The 18,308-nt window shown below is 41.5% G+C and overlaps 1 protein-coding gene and 1 long non-coding RNA gene across 10 annotated transcripts in view, besides 2 other annotated features; both read right to left on the reverse strand.

Moving 5' to 3' along the window:
- WWTR1 (WW domain containing transcription regulator 1) overlaps window positions 1–18,308 on the reverse strand; it is a 207,554-nt gene that overhangs the window by 121,026 nt on the left and 68,220 nt on the right. The window lies entirely within an intron of this gene.
- On the reverse strand, window positions 10,665–13,713 carry WWTR1-IT1 (WWTR1 intronic transcript 1). Its single transcript, NR_174973.1, has 2 exons — window positions 11,580–13,713; window positions 10,665–10,842 (listed from the first exon to the last, which is right to left on the reverse strand). It is a non-coding gene; the product is annotated as a WWTR1 intronic transcript 1 (long non-coding RNA).
- Window positions 13,564–14,063: an enhancer, noted in NCBI's record as "H3K4me1 hESC enhancer chr3:149369611-149370110 (GRCh37/hg19 assembly coordinates)". NCBI's record gives its function as "activates a minimal SCP1, AML or CMV promoter by ChIP-STARR-seq in naive H9 embryonic stem cells {active_cell/tissue: H9 hESC(naive)}" and the evidence as "EXISTENCE:reporter gene assay evidence [ECO:0000049][PMID:30033119]".
- Window positions 15,982–16,276: a silencer, noted in NCBI's record as "tiled region #14320; HepG2 Repressive non-DNase unmatched - State 2:TssF". NCBI's record gives its function as "represses a minimal TATA promoter and a strong SV40 promoter by Sharpr-MPRA in HepG2 cells {active_cell/tissue: HepG2}" and the evidence as "EXISTENCE:reporter gene assay evidence [ECO:0000049][PMID:27701403]".

Below are 18,308 nucleotides of genomic sequence, written 5' to 3' on the forward strand. Positions count from 1 at the left end.
GCATAAAAGGAGAGAAAACTAGGGAAAGAAGCACTTTAATCGTTTACGGAGCTTCCTTCAGGCCTGTTTATTAACATATTCCAAAAAAAATCACTGCTGTATGTACATATATGCCTTAAGATAAAGAGGAGCAACTGGAAAGAGATACAAGCCCCAAGTACAGTATACTTCCCTGACATTTGTGTTTTTAAAGAGTTCATTTAAAGGGCAATGGCATAATACTAGTATAATTCACATAATGCTAGCTCTGGGCTTTGGACTTTTAACCAAATGTTAAAAATGACTCCTTTTCTCTTGTCTCTGCGTGTGCTTCTCTGACTCGCTTGGCCTGTTTCCATTCTCTTTCTTTTTTCTCTCTCCATCCTTCTTAGTGTAAGTTAAAAAAAAAAAATCAATGCCGCAAGTTATGTTTAAATTCAGCCCACATGACATTTCCTTCGCATTTAATTGCTTCCATACAATTTATATCCGCTAGTCACGCTAGACCCCAGAGTATTAAACATGCTCTTTTACAAAGAAGCTCTTGTCCTGTAATAACCCCCATAATCAAAGTTCAGGAATTATGGGTAAGGCTCAGCCGGCCGATGGGGAAACAAACAGGTTTTTAAATTCATCCAAAGCAGGCTTCAGGCAGGAAGCAAATCAAAGCCGTCACTCTACCACCAGGTTTGAGAGCAAAAACACCGCAGAGGCTAGCTCAAACGAGAGATACTGGCATCTCTGCACATCCAGCAAATCTGATGCCAGATACTTTCTCTTTGGGCTGCCGTGAAGAACCACTAAACAATGCCACTTAAAGACACATGGTTACATTCTCTCTGCTTTCAAGGCAGCCCATTCCAAAAAGATCTAGCAATGGTCTACAAAGACTGCTCTTAAAATGCCTCTAAATGAATAAATCATTCTTCTTTGTTATTCAGAGTAGACTAAGACTAAAATTATCTTGGAAAAAAATATATATATACAGGGTCTCTTTCTGTTGCCCAGGCCAGAGTACGGTGGTGCAATCATAGTTCACTGCAACCCTGAATTCATAGGCTGAAGTGATCCCCCTTGCCTCAGCCTCCCAAGTAGCTGGGACTATAGCAGTGTGCACCACCACATTCTGTTAATTTTTAAAACTTTTTTATAGAGATGGGGTCTTGCTCTGTTGCTCAGGCCGGTCTCAAACTCCTGGCCTCAAGCCATTCTCCTGCCTCAGCCTCCCAAAGTTCTGGGATTATAAGTGTGAGCCACGACAACCTAAAGTTACCTCTTCTATTTTCCTATAGACAGCTTGGACAACATGTCTGGTCTTCTTTCATACTAATGGACAGCTACATTAGTATGTAGCTCTCAAGGTCTCTTATAAACTCATATTTCTGGGCACTTTTACAACTTATCCCATTATCTTCCCCACTTCTCAAGAAATCACCTCCCCAAAAGTTCACCTTTGAAAAAGTACAGAAGTTGGCTGGGTGCAGTGGCTCACGCCTGTAATCCCAGCACTTTGGGAGGCCGAGGTGGGTGGATCACGAGGTCAGGAGATCGAGACCATCCTGGCTAACACGGTGAAATCCCATCTCTACTAAAAAATACAAAAAAATACCCAGGCGTGGTGGTGGGCACTTGTAGTCCCAGCTACTTGGGAGGCTGAGGCAAGAGAACGTTGTGAACCTGGGAGGTGGAGCTTGCAGTGAGCCGAGATTGTGCCACTGCACTCCAGCCTGGGCTACACAGCGAGACTCCGTCTCAAAAAAAAAAAAAAAAAAAAGAAAGAAAGAAAGAAAGAAAGAAAGAAAAAGTACAGAAGTCATACAACTACACAGGGGCACTAACATGATTTCTTGGATTGCCCTTATTCACGTAGCCCACTTTTCACAAGAATTGTGCCTACTTTTCTTACAAAATCTCTTTAAGCAACATCTCTGGTCTTCCCCACTGTATTCAGATAAATGCCTCTCTACCAGTGTCAACAATTTTAAGAAACCTTTAATTTCACCCAATCTCCTCTGCTCAAAACCCATCCAGATCAAGAGCAAAACAATTGAAACTATTTATCAGATCCAGACAGTTGCATCTTAAAGAACTTTTTGAAAGTTTCTATGGCTTGCATCTCTGATGGTTTTCATAAACCAATGCTTTTGTCTATAGATAAAGGTTAGAACCAATATAGATTGGTTTTGTTTTTGTTTTTTTGAAACAGAGTTTCGCTCTGCCCCCAAAGCTGAAATGCAGTGCCCCAATCTTGGCTCACTGCAACCTCTGCCTCCCTGGTTCTAGTGAATCTCCTGCCTCAGCCTCCTGAGTAGCTGGGATAACAAGCATGTGCCACCACACCCAGCTAATTTTTGTATTTTTAGTAGAGACAGGGTTTCACCATGTTGGCCAGGCTGGTCTCAAACTCCTGGCCTCAAGTAATCCACCCACCTCGGCCTCCCAAAGTGCTGGTATTACAGGCATGAGCCACCGAGCCCGACCAGAATCAATACAGTTTGGATCAGAGATATCATGCTACTCTTAGAAACTGGCAGATAATAAATATATTATTTATAGCCAATAAACTACTTTTGGTCTATCATAATAAAAAAAACAATTCCTAAGCTATCACTAAAACATGATGTCATTTGTGGTTGCTTTATTTTGTATTTACTATACAGATGTATTCTTTATTGTGATGGCCTAGATCTGGACATATTCAGAGCCAAAATTATTTTACGTATCAAGTCACTGGCAAATCAAAGAAAAACCAAATTATTTAAACATTCATTTAGGAGCTCATATTTATATTTTGGAAATGAAACCTCATATTTTAAGGCATTCGATATTATTTATTATGCAGGGTCCTTTTATCTTGTTCCACAATATAACTTTTTGTTTTACTCTTGGCAGACTTTACTGTCACTGTACAAAACAGACATTGTTTTAAAAACCCATTTGTAATAAGTGTCAGTAAATATGATCTTTCGCTTCAGCTGAAGCAACTCTATGGCATCAGTTTACACCTCCACACTTACTTGGAAGTTTATAATGCTTGTTTTCAGCAGCTTTCACACCTAGACTCCATACGATATGTACCAGCCACCAAGATGTTTACCAGTCCTCAGAAGGGCCTTTCGAGAACTCTTAAAACTTAATTTGTTACTGACGCTTTGCTTAAAGGACAATGCACTTTAATTAGCCACACCACTGGCCCTTTATTCACACACATGAGGTAAGCTGGACATTCCAATGCATGTGCAACTGGGAAATTTGAGTCCTTTAATGGTTTTCAACAATTAACTAGGGCCGGCCAATTGTTAGGTTAAACAAAAAGCACTGTGGCAAAACTTGACTCACTTCACTACGGCTAATAATTACAAAAGGTTGTGCTGGTCCATCCCTCACTCTACTTACCTGCCAAAGTTTCAGGCAAAGTCTCAACAATTGGGATCTAACCTTTAAAATCATTTCTTTAATGTTGACACTCCAAATTGTCCATAATGACCCTACATTCTGCTCCTACTGTTAATAATCACCAACTACTTAATAGTTTATTAAAAAGTTAGCAACAGACAAATACAAAGAACAATGTTTCCACTGTGTACCATACGGATTACAGCTCTTGGACCTTTGCTTGAGAACACAGCTTTCCAAGGCCCAAAGCACAGCCCCTGTCATCTTCATACTTCAAATGCAGACATGCAAGATCAATAACTCAAGGTTAACTTTTCTTAGATGATAGATAAGATAGCTAAACTTTTTTAAAAGCCTAGGTAAAAAAGAGATGTTTTAAACATACCCTTGGCTACAGCTCAACTTTTAGGTAGCTGATCCTTTCTCCATTCCTGCCTTCTTTCCTTCAAGCTTTTCTACAATATAGCCTTATGGTTGGATTTTATGTTAAAATGTACGAATGTGGCCGGGCGTGGTGGCTCACACCTGTAATCCCAGCACTTTGGGAGGCCGAGGCAGGCAGATCACCTGAGGTTGGGAGTTCAAGACCAGCCTGATCAACAGGGAGAAACCCCGTCTCTACTAAAAATACAAAATTAGCCAGGCGTGGTGGCCCATGCCTGTAATCCCAGCTAACTGGGAGGCTGAGGCAGGAGAATTGCTTGAACCCAGGAGGCAGAGGTTGCGGTGAACTGAGATCGCATCAATGCACTCCAGCCTAGGCGACAAGCAAAACTCTGTCACACACACACACACACACACACGAAAGTACGAATACCCAAATATAAGTTGGATGATATAATTTTGTAAGAGAAATCCGGCCGGGCACGGTGGCTCACGCCTGTAATCCCAGCACTTTGGGAGGCCGAGGCGGGTGGATCACGAGGTCAGGAGATCGAGACCATCCTGGCTAACATGGTGAAACCCCGTCTCTACTAAAAATACAAAAAATTAGCCAGGCGTGGTTGCAAGCGCCTGTAGTACCAGCTATTCGGGAGGCTGAGGCAGGAGAATGGCCGGAACCCGGGAGGCGGAGCTTGCAGTGAGCCGAGATCGGGCCACTGCACTCCAGCCTGGGCGACAGAGTGAGACTCCGTCTCAAAAAAAAAAAAAAAAGAAATCCTTATTTGCCAAAAGTTGCATATGCATAGGGTTATATTTCACATAATACCTAAAACAAAGACCCAAAAAGTGGGGACGGTTGCACTAGAGAATGCATCTGCAGAAAACCTAAGTAATTTTATGAGCAGCACTCAAGTTTACTGCTTCTTTTATGATTCTTAATCCCGCCTACTAAATTCACATGTCTTTACAAATCCCAAATCTGTAACAAGGCCACCAAATGCTCCCAAATTAGCAAAATACAGAATAGCCTTTTAACTACAATACAAGCTTTAACTACAAAATGCAGCCAAACTCAAACCAGTTTGATATAATTAAACATGTTTTATTTACCTTATATTGTGAAAGGGCAAACTGGCCTGGCGAACTTACTTGCATTAATCTGAGTCCCCTTTGCCAGGTATCAAAATCAGTTCCAGTGAATGGAGAAACAAAGATAGGAAAGATAAACATTTATCTGAAACTACAGTTACATAATATTTGGAACCATAAATTTTTTACTGATACTCTCCAAACATAATCTGCTATTTTTATGGCTGTAATTTAGTTATGACGTGTGCCAGCAATAACAGTCCTGTGCACTACAAATTGTGACGAAGATTTTACCAAGCTAGGATTGCAGACTGTAATTTTCCTCACAGCAAGTAATGATCATATCAATTAGAGTCATGTTTTTACCCGAGTCTTATAACTTAGCTCAGTTAGTTATAAAACACTGATTTCGGACCCCATTTTAATAGGATGCTTAAACAAGCAAACGTGTGGTATACGGCAATAAAGTGAGAGACACTATAGGTTATATGGAAACTTGTGGGACTATGTGGGAGTGTATTCACACCTTATCTAATTGAGATCTTTATTTTCCTTATTTTTCTGTCTCTCAAAACTAAATTATCTGAATTATCATAAGAATTAGTACCTCAGGCCCTGTTATGACCTATCCTGGGAAAGAAAGTGTCCTCGTGGAAAAGTCATTCACTGGACATTTTTCAGTCCTTATCTTCCTTGACCTCTGAGAAACACACCACAGAGCTAACCATTCTTTCTTCTTGAAAGACTTTCTTCCCTGGCTTCCACGCACCACTCTCTGGATTTCCTCCTACCTCTCTTTCTCTTCTCTCTCCATCTCTTTACAGGGTCCATCAGTACTTCTTGTTTCTTCTCATTCTATCTGTAACCTCTCTAAGAAATCTCAACCACACCAGGATTTGAATAATTATACACATTCCACTACACCCCATTTTCCTCCCTTGGGCATCTTAAAGTCACTTCAAACTCAATATGTTAAATAATTTCTCCACTTCTTCCAAGGCTCCCAGTACGGCTTGCTACAATTAGAGGCGCCACCAGCCCTGACATTATACAGCCAGCAATCTGCAAATCTTCCTTTCCTCCTGCTTTACTCGCTGCCTTTATCCAATCCATCACCAAATCCTGTCAAATTTACCTGCTAATATCCCTTCAGTGATTAAAATGATCTCACTTCTTCTCTTTTCCAGCACCACTAAAGCAACTTTTCAGCAATTAAATCACTCTTATGAATACCTTCATTCCAGAGTGGCAGAATATTCCAGTCACTACCTGTGCTTCTGGAACTGTAATGAAAATTTCTATCCCTGTTTCTCCCCAGTATGGCTCACATCAGACAGTCCTCGAAAACCTGACCAGTTTTGGGCCAGCAGAGACGTCACTTTCTTGAACCAAAAAGTCAAATCCCAGTCTCTAGATCATGGTTACCCCGATAAGGCTTTTCACCCTGAGACATCCCATCAGGCATTGCATCCAGTTCTCCAGAATTTAATCCATGTCTGTACTCTACCCGGTCCTGAGGTTATGTGAGGCTCAACCAGTAACAGAGACTTCCCACAATGCAAAAACAAACTAATGCTGTTTTTATCAGTCAAGTCATATATACATATATGCATAATAAATCCTTGGAAGATAACACAAGTAACTGGGAACAGTAGTTACTTCTGAGGAGTAAACCTAGTGTGTGTCTTGGGGTTGCAGGGTGGTGGTGGCAGGGAGGTGGGCAGTACTTTTACTGTTCACTTCTTTTTTTACTTATTTTTTTGAGACAGAGTCTTGCTCTGTGGCCCAGCCTGGAATGCAGTGGCCTGATCTCAGCTCACTCCAACTTCCACCTCCCAGGTTCAAGCAATTCTCGTGTCTCAGCCTCCCAGGTAACTGGGATTACAGGTACACGCCACCATGCCCAACTAATTTTTGTATTTTTAGTAGATACGGGGTTTCACCATGTTGGCCAGGCTGCTCTTTTATTTTATTTATTTTTTTTTTTTTGAGACGGAGTCTCGATCTGTCGCCCAGGCTGGAGTGCAGTGGCGCGATCTCAGCTCACTACAAGCTCTGCCTCCCAGGTTCGCGCCATTCTCCTGCCTCGGCCTCCCGAGTCACTGGGACTACAGGTGCCCGCCACCACGCCTGGCTAATTTTTTGTATTTTTAGTAGAGATGGGGTTTCACCGTGTTAGCCAGGATGGTCTTGATCTCCTGACCTCGTGATCTGCCCGCCTCGGCCTCCCAAAGTGCTGGGATTACAGGTGTGAGCCACCACGCCTGGCCCCAGGCTGCTCTTAAACTCCTGACCTCAAGTGATCCACCTGCCTTGGCCTCCTAAAATGCTGGGATTACAGGTATGAGCCACTGCTCAGCCCCTACTTTTCACTTTATAACTTTCAGTTCTGTTTGGACTTTTTGGTAAGAGTATGTATTATTTTTATAACAAAAGCCAGCTTTTTAAAAACAAACCCCAAAATAAATGAAGTCAGTAAAAGTTACGTTTGTTCATTATAGTCACATTTACCATTTGCTTGGGTTTTCTCCTTTCTGATGGGTTATCACACACAGTTGCAGCCTCAACTATGATAGGTGCCCAGGTGCCCCTTTGAAAACCTAGGCTAAGAAGTGCTTTGCAAGTGCAAACTAGGAGAAAGATATTCAGTATTTTAATATCTGCAGAAAAGCCATCACAAATGAATATTTTTTTTTTAAATAAACAACCTAGCATGTGTATTTTTCTCCAGTCACCATGTTTTGACTCCTGAGTCTGTCACTGGCAATGCTTACCAGCAGACTAGTCACAAAAAAGAACAGAAATTGGATTTTTGTACAGTGTTCAGAATTGAGATGTGCCACAGCAAAATTTTAAAACAATGAGTTACTGTAGAAGCCACAAAGACATAAAATATATTATGTACTAGAAAACAGATTATATACAACCTTTGTGCCATAGATTTCCATTTTAAGACTGAACCTCTTAGAATGATTATTAAGTTAATGAAAGGTATGATTAATTGGTTGATGCAAAAATTATAGCTAGAAGGATGGATGGAAAAATAAAACGATAGGTAAGTAAATAGATGAATTGATTAAGAGATGGATGACAGACACATTAGATAGGTCGTTAAGAGAGATAAACAGATTACTGCTTCTCAAACTATCTGTGGTGAAGGACCGGGGTTTTATTTCCAATCTGTCAAGACCAGTATGTAGTCCTATGGTGGATGGCTTATACATAGCTCACACCACATGTGACTCACCACACAAGAGTGACACACCCAAACTACCCTGTTCCACAAGATAATTGCATTGGTCACCTACTTGGATGTCATAGCAATGCCATTTTGCCATAAAGTTTCTAAATACTCTCAACTTCTCTATCTAGCTCTTCATAGGCCAGTTATAATTCAACTGTACACTGGCATCAGTCCATGGACCATACTTTGAGTAGCACTAAGCTATATAATCAGTTACTTCCCAGCAGTATGCCATCAGTTCTTATTGGTTGGGCATCCACTCTAACTGGTTATTGAATTTGGTAGACCATGCATCAGCCTTGTATAAGAAGGATAAGCAGACTGATTGACAGATAGAACAGTGGATGACAGATAAATTAGATAACCGACTAGCTAGCTAACAAATTAGATGGGAACCGGAGAGCTGTTCTTTGGGCAAAGAATATTTCTGAATAAAGTGTTAACAATGGTACTTTCTAAATGGGGGATTCAGAGAAGATCAGAAGAATTTCTTTTCCACTTTCCTCCCTCCAACAGTGTTTGAGCATATAAAATTTTAATTAAAAAGAGAAAGAAACAATTAAATGTCCATCAGTAGGGGACATGATGTACATTTAAATTCCTAAGCAATGGAATACTATGTGGTCCTTAAAAAAAACAGAGGTTTATGTACAGAAGAGAAATGAACTCCAAGATATATTATACTAAGTGAAAAAAAAAGAAGGTGCAGAAGAGTGTGTACAGTACACTACCATTGTGTTGTGTTGACATGGTCTAGGTGGATATCTACATTGATACATGCATGCTTGTACTCACAAAGAGTTTCTCTGAAAAAACAAAAAAACTAGTGCTCTGGGGAGGGGGACAAGAGGACTGGAGGAGAGTGAAAGAAAGACTCTTCCCAGTAAATGCCTTTGTACTTATTTTAGGTTCTTGGTATTTAAATGTATTTATTACCTCTTTAAAAACTTTTTTTTTTAATTTAAAGAAGTCACCTGAAAACATGAACTTTCGAGTTTAGAAAATGCGTTCCTGAGAGGGAGGCCACTGGCTGCCCAGGCAGGGCATCCTCAGGGAACTGGGCCTAGGTGGGCCCTGGTGGGATGACTATGGTTCCAGAATCTCAGTTTTGTCTGTGTCTAGTTGATCAGCCTCAGAGGAACTGAGAAAGTACCGAAAACCACAAGAGAGTATTCTGGGAACAAGCAGACTCAAAAGCTATTCATTTACAAGCAGAAATGATAGATCCAGCAGGGGCGGTCCCAAGTCAAGGGTAGCCTGGTATCCCACTTACTTGGGAAGTAAAGACCACCCACAATTTTGGAACTGTACTTGCTAAATTGAATATAGGATGGAGCTATGAATGGAAAGATAAAAAGACCATAATTTCCAGACTCTTTTAAGTCAGCATAAAATGCTTAGTTCTCTAAACAACCAGGAAGATCTCAACATAGGTGACAATGGTGGGGTCTTACGCTACAGTCACAAAAAGCTAGGACTCGTGTATCTCAAAACTAAGGAGTGAGAAAGTTGACATTTACTAGCAAAAGGTCAATGAGCCCACCCTAGCTGAGGCTCCAGAACCTCAATGGGATGCATAATCATCTACCAACCAACACCTATCTTTTAATACAAGTCAGTACAAGCTCCTCTTAGTCTCAAAAACACACCCTCAGCATTTCTGCCTCTATACCTCTCTTCCCATCCTGTTTTTCCTGGAAGGCTTGTCTGCACACCTACCTATATCTTTGCCACTTTTTGAAGGTTCCATTTATGTCTAAGCACCTTTATGAGACTTCTCTGAACACCCAGCCTTCATTCATCTCCCTCTCCACTGCATTTAGTATCTGGAGCTCTGACATTAATCTTGCAGTCAAAGGGGCACAGATACAATGGAATGCCATTTCCAAGCATGGAAGACTCCTACGAATTCCAGGGTGCAAGTTTACAATGAAAATGGCTAAAAATAAATAATACAGGATTCCTTTCGAACACCTACTATGTGCCAGGCACTGTGCTCAAGTTAAGCAATGCCAAGCAAGACAAACATCGTTCTTCCCCTGATGGAGGTTACAGTGCAGTAAAAAAAGGAAAACCAAAACTAAACAAAACAAAAAAAAAACAGTAATATGAGAGTGGAGCAATGACTGAGGAAACAGAAGGGCCTATGGGAGGAGGAGCAGCAGCATCTAATCCAGAGTGGGAGCTGCAAGTTGGGGAAAAGTTCCTGCAGGATGTGGCATCTAAGCTGATATCTGAAGGTAATGGAGGAGTTAAGCAGGCAAAAAGCAGGGAAATAATGTTCCAGGCAAAGGAAACAGCTTGTGCCAAGTTCCTGAGGCCAGAAGGAGTACAGCCAATGGGAGAAACTGACAGACATTCTGTACAGCTGCAAATTTCAGACCTTTAGTCATATTATAAATGACTGACTTAGGACACACCTTACAAAGGCTTCCGGCAAACCAAGGTGGAAGGCAGCTGATCCAGGCTCTAGGACCACAGGTCGAAACCAGCTCTTTGGCCTGGTTTGTCTGTGTTCCCCTTCTCTCTCCAGATTCTGTCAGCTGCCTGCGGTGATAAAGCCAGCCACACATTTCTTCTTTTAGGACATACTCACGATGCTAACACAAACAGGAGTTCAATGCTTTTTTTTAATTTTTTTTATTTTTTATTTTTTTGAGGCAGAGTTTTGCTCTTGTTGCCCAGTCTGGAGTGCAATGGCATGATCTCGGCTCACTGCAACCTCTGCCTCCCGGATTCAAGCGATTCTCCTGCCTCGGCCTCCTGAGTAGCTGGAATTACAGGCAAGCGCCACCATGCCCGGCTAATTTTGTATTTTTAATAGAGACAGGGTTTCTCCATGTTGGTCAGGCTGGTTTCGAACTCCTGACCTCAGGTGATCTGCCTGCCTCAGCCTCCCAAAGTGCTGGGATTACAGGCGTGAGCCACCGCGCCCAGCCAAGTTCAAATGATTTCTAGTTGTAAATTAGCTGAACTGGCTAAAGATCTTTTAGATGGCACAAAGGCAAGGCCCTGGAAGATCATCGCCCCTTTCACCGTCTAAATCCCGAACAATAACAGGAATGAACTTGCAAAGGTGGTGTTTGTGCCAGGCACTGCGCTCAGCACTTTATAAATGTTTCTTCATTTCACTTCTTCTCCTAATAGCACTGAGCAAGTGAACATCATCTTTTCCTTTCTTATTTATTTTCTGCTATGCCTAGACGGAACATTAAATAAAAGCTAGAAGTCCAGGAAAGAGAGCATGCAAGTAAAGAATAAGCTGAAAGAAATCCATATGACCGCCGGGTGCAGTGGCTCACGCCTGTAATCCCAACACTTTGGGATGCCATGGTGGGCAGATCACCTGAGGTCAGGAGTTTGAGACCAGCCTGGCCAACATGGTGAAACTCTGTCTCTATTAAAAATACAAAAATTAGCCAGGCGAGGTGGCAGATGCCTATAATCCCAGCTAGTCGGGAGGCTGAGGCAGGAGAATCAGCTGAACCTGGGAGCAGGAGGCTGCCGTGAGCTGAGATGGCGCCATTGCACTCCAGCCTAGGCGACAAGAGTGAAACGCTATCTCAAAAAAAAAAAAAAAAAAAAATTCTGTAGAGACAGAATCTCGCTATGTTGCCCAGGCTTGTCTCAAACTCTTGGCCTCAAGCAATCCTCCCACCTCGGCCCCCCAAAGTGATAAGATTAGTGGTGTGAGTCACCTTGGTGGAAATCTTGATGAGAATAAAATATAAATAGACAATGGAGGTGTACTACCCATTTCTGGTATATTTGGGTTTTCTTCCATCATCTCTATCTCACCATCAATGACAGTTCCAAATAGCATAACCCAGACTCAGTTCAGAAGCAAACTCTAAAAATCCATCCACCACTCCACCACCACAGTTATGCGATCATCAAGGATACATAATTACAAGACCTAATTATGGGCCACACAATTGGCATGAGACAGCATGGCATAAGGACAGGAACACAGGTTTTGGAATCACAGAGTTCTAATCCCATCTCTGCCACTCACCTGTTATATGACCCCAGGACATTTATTTAACCTCACTGAGCCTCAGTTTACTTAACAGTAAAATGAGGTAATAATATATACCTGTTCATGGGATCACTGTGAGGGTTAAAAGAAATAATATACGTAAAAGCATCTAGGGTTATGAAAAAGTTCCATATGCATATAATTCTGTTGCTATCTCTCTGGGATGTGCTGACTCTCACTCTCTGCCTTGTCTGGCATACAGCAGGTAATCAACAAATGTCAATTACCTTTCCTGCTCATCTCCCCCTTCTCCATTTCCTCTTCCTCCCCTATCCCACACACAAAAACAGCTCAATTTGTAGTGACAATCTAGATTCCAAACAATAAAAACTAGACACTTCTCAGATGGAGTTGGGTATCCTCTGCCCAAAATGCTGAAGCAAAAGGGCACTTACAGTGAGCATTCCTATTTAGGTTTCTCTTAACCAGGAAAGTTGACTCTAACTCCTTATTTTAAACTTAAAACTGACTTTCAACTCCAGATCCAGGTTGTCCCTCAAAGCTACAGCTGTAATCCAGAGTCAAAAATCACCTGACCCCTATTGCCAAGGTTTCTGCTTCTGATTTTGGCTGGGTAAATAGGCTATGTGTGTTGGGAGAGAGAGAAGAGAAAGCAAGAACTAACTTGTACTGAACATCTCCTGTGCGCCAGATGCTTTAAATATGCTCATCTTTCAAACCACAATGCAACAGGTATCACTCTCTTCACATTACAGACAACTGAGTTAGCAGACAGTATTTTTTGAATGACAAAGGGCCCTTATGAAAACAGCTACATTATACTGTCATTCAAAGATAAACAGAAAAAACAAGCCAGAGTCAGAACAATTTTTAAGTAAATACGTTCAGATAAAAAAGGACTTGAAAAACTTACCTCCTACAAACCACTTCTTAAGAAGTTACTCAAGCATGTACTGCAGCAAAATGAGGGATAAACCAAAAAAATAGGAAGACACGGGAAAAGGAAACAGCACTTCCAGCCATGGAAAGAAGTTCCAGGATGACAGCTCTGTAGTGGGCTTAGTGAATAACCAGTTCAGAACGGCACAGAACGAGAAAGGAATCTCGGCATACAGCTTAGACAAAGAAGACTCGATAGGTTAGACAAGATTGAGAGCCTAGAAAACTTTTGAGATCATAATAATGGCAAATAATGCATGAACACATTAAAAGGCAATCAGAAATACTAGGGAAAAAATTTAAGAAAGTCATGGTCCAAATATGAAAAAACTAAAAGGTAACACAAATTTAAACAACTGATGAAGAGTGAGAAAACAAAAAATCCCATTTGACTTTGGGGCTAGATATCTCATCCTTTGATTGGCCCAGGAATCCTAAAACCAGACCCACAGTGCAAGTCTAAAATCCAATCCTGACACACAAGGCAATGAATCATTTCACAGAATTGTAGTCATGTAAATGTTGCCTATGGATTTTCTTTTTTTTTTTTTTTTTTGAGATGGAGTCTGGCTCTGTTGCCCAGGCTGGAGTGCAGTGGCGCGATCTCGGCTCACTGCAAGCTCCGCCTCCGGGGTTCACACCATTCTCCTGCCTCAGCCTCCTGAGTAGGACTACAGGCGCCCGCTGCCACGCCCGGCTAATTTTTTTTTTTTTTTTTTTTTTTGTATTTTTTAGTAGAGACGGGGTTTCACGGTGTTAGCCAGGATGATCTCCATCTCCTGACCTCGTGATCCGCCCGCCTCGGCCTCCCAAAGTGCTGGGATTACAGGCATGAGCCACTGCGCCCGGCCTTATGGATTTTCAACTTTAAGAATCATATACGAATAAGATGGTCAACTTTGGGGCAAAGCACAAATACAGGTTATGGGTTCAGGGCTTTGGCAATGTGGAAAGCAACATTGTCAAAAAGTGAACAGTAGAACTGGTAGCAATCCAAACATTACTGACATACAGCATAAGGAATCAAGAAATACTATCCAAAGTTGAAAAAGCCAGGTGTGGTGGCTCACACCTGTAATCCTAGTGCTTTAGGAAGCCGGTGGGAGGATTGCTTGAGGCCAGGAGTTTGAGACCAGCCTGGGCAGCATAGGAAACCCTGTCTCTACAAAAAAGTTAAATAAATTAGCCAAATATGGTGGTGCAAACCTATAGTCGTAGTTACTCAGGAAGCTGAGGTGGGAGGATCACTTGAGCCCAGGAATTTGAGGCTTCAGTGAGCTATGATTCCCACTGCACTCTAGCCTGGGTGACAGAGACAGACCCCATCTCAAAAAAAAAAAAAAAAAAAAAAAAAAAAAAAAAAAAAAAAAAAAAAAGATGATTATTTAAAAAAGGTGACCTAACAGACAAATTTAAAATATTATAAACATCAAACCTGGGAGAGAAAAAAGAAAACTAGCTTAAAGAGCTACATTCTCACTTTCATATCAGGTGCTAAAAGTTGATAAATCAAAACATGGTGGTAAAAGCACATTACTTAAGCTTAAGAAGGTAACAATCTAAGAATTAAATATGGGTACAGTTGAAAAAAATTAAAAGTTGCCCTCTGTGAGCCTTGAGGAGGTGAAGGAAACCATTGTTTTTCAACAAATGTCCTCCTGTATATTGGATTTGTTACCAAGTGCATGGATCACTTGGACAAAAATAATTTTCTGTCACACATTTGAGAAAAGGCAAAACACTAAAATTGTCACTAAAAATGAGACGTGGCAGCCAAATGTTATAGTCTGAATTGTATTTAAGAGGAGGATAAAATCTTTTTTCTTATAAAATCACGTTACTCAAATGAAAGATTTTTACAAGAATGTTTGCGAAAGAGTAAAGATGGGAAATTCTACTGAAGCTAGATAACTTTCTTCTTTATAATTCCCCATTTTCTGGTTTATGTATAGAAAGCATGTATTCTATTTATAATCAGAGACCTTTTAAAAATTTAATGTGATCAGTATTCAGTCAGTGTGCCAGGTTGCCCAACACCCCAGCCTGATTCATGAGATTGAGAGGACAGCAGGAATAATGAATGAACACAGTGGTTTTCAGAGGCTAGGTGTTTTAACATTCAATCTGCTTCACTGTTACTCTAATTTTTAAAAACTTTTTATTTAGAGATGGGGTGGGGGTGGTAGTGGCTGCAGGTGGGCACCACCATGCCCTAGTCATTGTTACTCTAAAGGAATATCTGAATACCACAGGACACCTGAACACCACAGGAAAGCTGTGAATGCTCAGGAAAGGTGCCTTCAGGAGGTTGCAGAAAGTGATTACATCATATACCTAGGAATAATCTTACCTGAGAAAATGACAAAAGGCTTTTTTAAAGCTTCTTAGATGTCCAGGCTCTGTTTCCCATTAAGTTCATTGTTTAGCTAAGGAAGTGACATGGGGGAAAGGTGTCGGTGGGGAAAAAGGAAAACTGTTGCCTAAGTAGACAGCAACAGATTAGAGGTCCAGTCCAGGGTCCACCATTAAATAACCACATGACTTTCCCAAATTCCTATCATCACCCTTCCGTGGCCTCAATTTTCTAGTCAAAAACTAAACTAAACAAAATTGACCCTTGTCATTCTAAAATCCTTTGATTTCCAACTTATAAAGCTCTCAACTCCCAACAGAGTCAAGAAAAAGATTCTTCTTCTGGCTGGGCATGGTAGCTCATGCCTGTAATCCAAGCACTTTGGGAGGCCAAGGCAGGAGAATCACTTGAGTACAGGAGTTTGAGACTAGCCTAGGCAACATAGTGAAACCCCATCTCTACCCCAGCCAAAAATAAAAAAATTAAAAAAAAAAATGTATCTGCTAGCCTCAGCCCTATTTCATAGATGGCAAGTAAAGTAATAAACAGACATAATGAAAAGTAACTCCAAGTGAGTCACCATCATTTTTCAAGCTTCTACTTAATCCACTGAAATACACTGCCTTTTGAGGCTGTGTAACAAAGTGTATGACATTTACCTAATTCCAACTTTAAACAAAACTCTACAAGAAATTCAGAGAACTCTTGGCAGATTGCTTATCCTTAAAGACAATAGTCACTGACAAATTCTTAACCTCTCTTAGTCACTTGGCCAAAATACTTCCAGGGATAGCATCAGAGCAGGCCAGCCTACTACTTACACATTTTTTTCAGCTGTCATTTTCATTGACTACCCAAAGTGAAATGAAGATGCACTCTGCTTTGGATTGGAGAGTGGTTGTGGTTGGGGGGATGGGCAGAGAGATCACAGCAACTTTCTCTAAATCCAAGGCTAACTTCCACTTTTGCCCTTGTTCACAGGCAGTTCTGAGCTACTCCAATCATTCAAAACACAATGTATAAAGGAATTTTTTTGTTTTGCTTTTGTTTCAGGGTCTTTTTCGTCTAGTTTTCCTCAGATATTAGGCAAGCCTAGCTCCTATTTCATATTTTTAATAATCACAGTTATACTGATCATATACCATACGTATGTGTGTATATATTCATAAACACAGTTTAGAAATCATGTAGGGCTGGGGCCAGGCGTGGTGGCTCACACCTGTAATTCCAGCACTTTGGGAGGCCGAGGCGGGCAGATCACGAGGTCAGGAGATAGAGACCATCCTGGCTAACATGTTGAAACCCCGTCTCTACTAAAAAAAATACAAAAAAGTAGCCGGGCTTGGTGGCGGGTGCCTGTAGTCCCAGCTACTCGGGAGGCTGAGGCAGGAGAATGGCGTGAACCCGGTAGGCGGAGCTTGCAGTGAGCCTAGATCGCGCCACTGCACTCCAGCCTGGGCGACAGAGCGAGACTCCATCTAAAAAAGAAAGAAAGAAAGAAAGAAAGAAATCATGTAGGGCTGGGCATGGTGGCTCAAGCCTGTAATCCCAGCACTTTAGGAGGCCGAGGCAGGCAGATCACTTGAGGTCAGGAGTTCAAGACCAGCCTGGCCAACATGGTGAAACCTCGTCTCTACTAAAAATACAAAAATTAGCCAGGCGTGGTGGTGGGTGCCTGTAATCCCAGCTACTCAGGAGGCTGAGGCAGAAGAATTGCTTGAACCCAGGGGGCGGAGGTTGCAGTGAGCCGAGATTGTGCCACTGCACTCCAGCGTGGGCGACAGAGTGAGACTTTGTCTCAAAAACAAAAACAAACAACAAACAACAACAACAAAAGTCATGTTATTACATCATATTCTTGACTCCACCAGCTACTTAGAAGTCAAAGGACTGAGCACATGTCCAAACTATCACTCAATAACCCAGAGAAGACCAGCTGTGGCATAAATGACCATCAAGTCTGTTTCAGAATCTCAGCATTACACCAATCTCAGAAACAACAAAAGAACTCCTTGGACAAGATATCAACAGCCTTGAGATGGGGAAGTAATAAGAATTGGTCACTGGTATGAATCAATGGGCTCACTATAGTAAACTTCATCCATCACTGTGTATTCATTCTTAGGGCTCTCTCATAGCAATCAGAGCATCAAATATTAGTGCCAAAGAAAGGCTTGATTAAACTTTTAAAATTGTACATAGTGTCTTCACTTTTGCACTAAGGCTACTCTACTAAAGAAATATGGGCTTTAAAATGAAGTCTAAGTCAAGTTCTTAGGAGAGGAGTTTCCCTCACTGGCAGTGCAGGCAATCCTGAAACAAGTGGTTAGGCTGGCACAACCTCCATCTTTGATAGCCTGACCCTATGACCTCAATGGAACATTTCAAGTTCCAGCCTGGTTTCTCCTGAGGAATGTAGTTATCTTAGGGTACCACAATTGAAACAACCTCCTCTAGTGTTTGAGAATATATTTTCCTGTGGGGTGTAATTTGAAAATTTCAACTAATGTAAAATTCATGACATCAAAAAGCTGGAACAATGTGAAAGGAAGAAGAGTGACAAAGCAGGCTTGTGATTTGATGGTATTTTAGGTTAACAAGTTTAATGTAATAAAACTCCTAACAATTTCCACACGATTGATTTGTCCAGCCCACAACTACTCCACCACACAGTTGCTAATAACATCACTGTGCTGTGTGGTCATTATGTCACCCAGCTGGGAGCACTATGGCCTACCAACCACTGTTCACTTTTCCAGCTTGCTTTTCCCAAGAAGATAGAAACTGCAGACCACCTACTTCACCAAAAGTCCCTCTGTTCCCCAAGCTTCACAGCTTTTCTCTGATTTATCTCGGTGTCACATCCCAAAGGGCCTGGCTCTGGACTATCTGACTTAGAGTGGCCAAGGAAGGGACTAAGGGTC

The sequence above is a fragment of the Homo sapiens genome, chromosome 3 (assembly GCF_000001405.40).
Source record: "Homo sapiens chromosome 3, GRCh38.p14 Primary Assembly".
In the NCBI taxonomy this organism is placed as follows: Eukaryota; Metazoa; Chordata; class Mammalia; order Primates; family Hominidae; genus Homo; species Homo sapiens.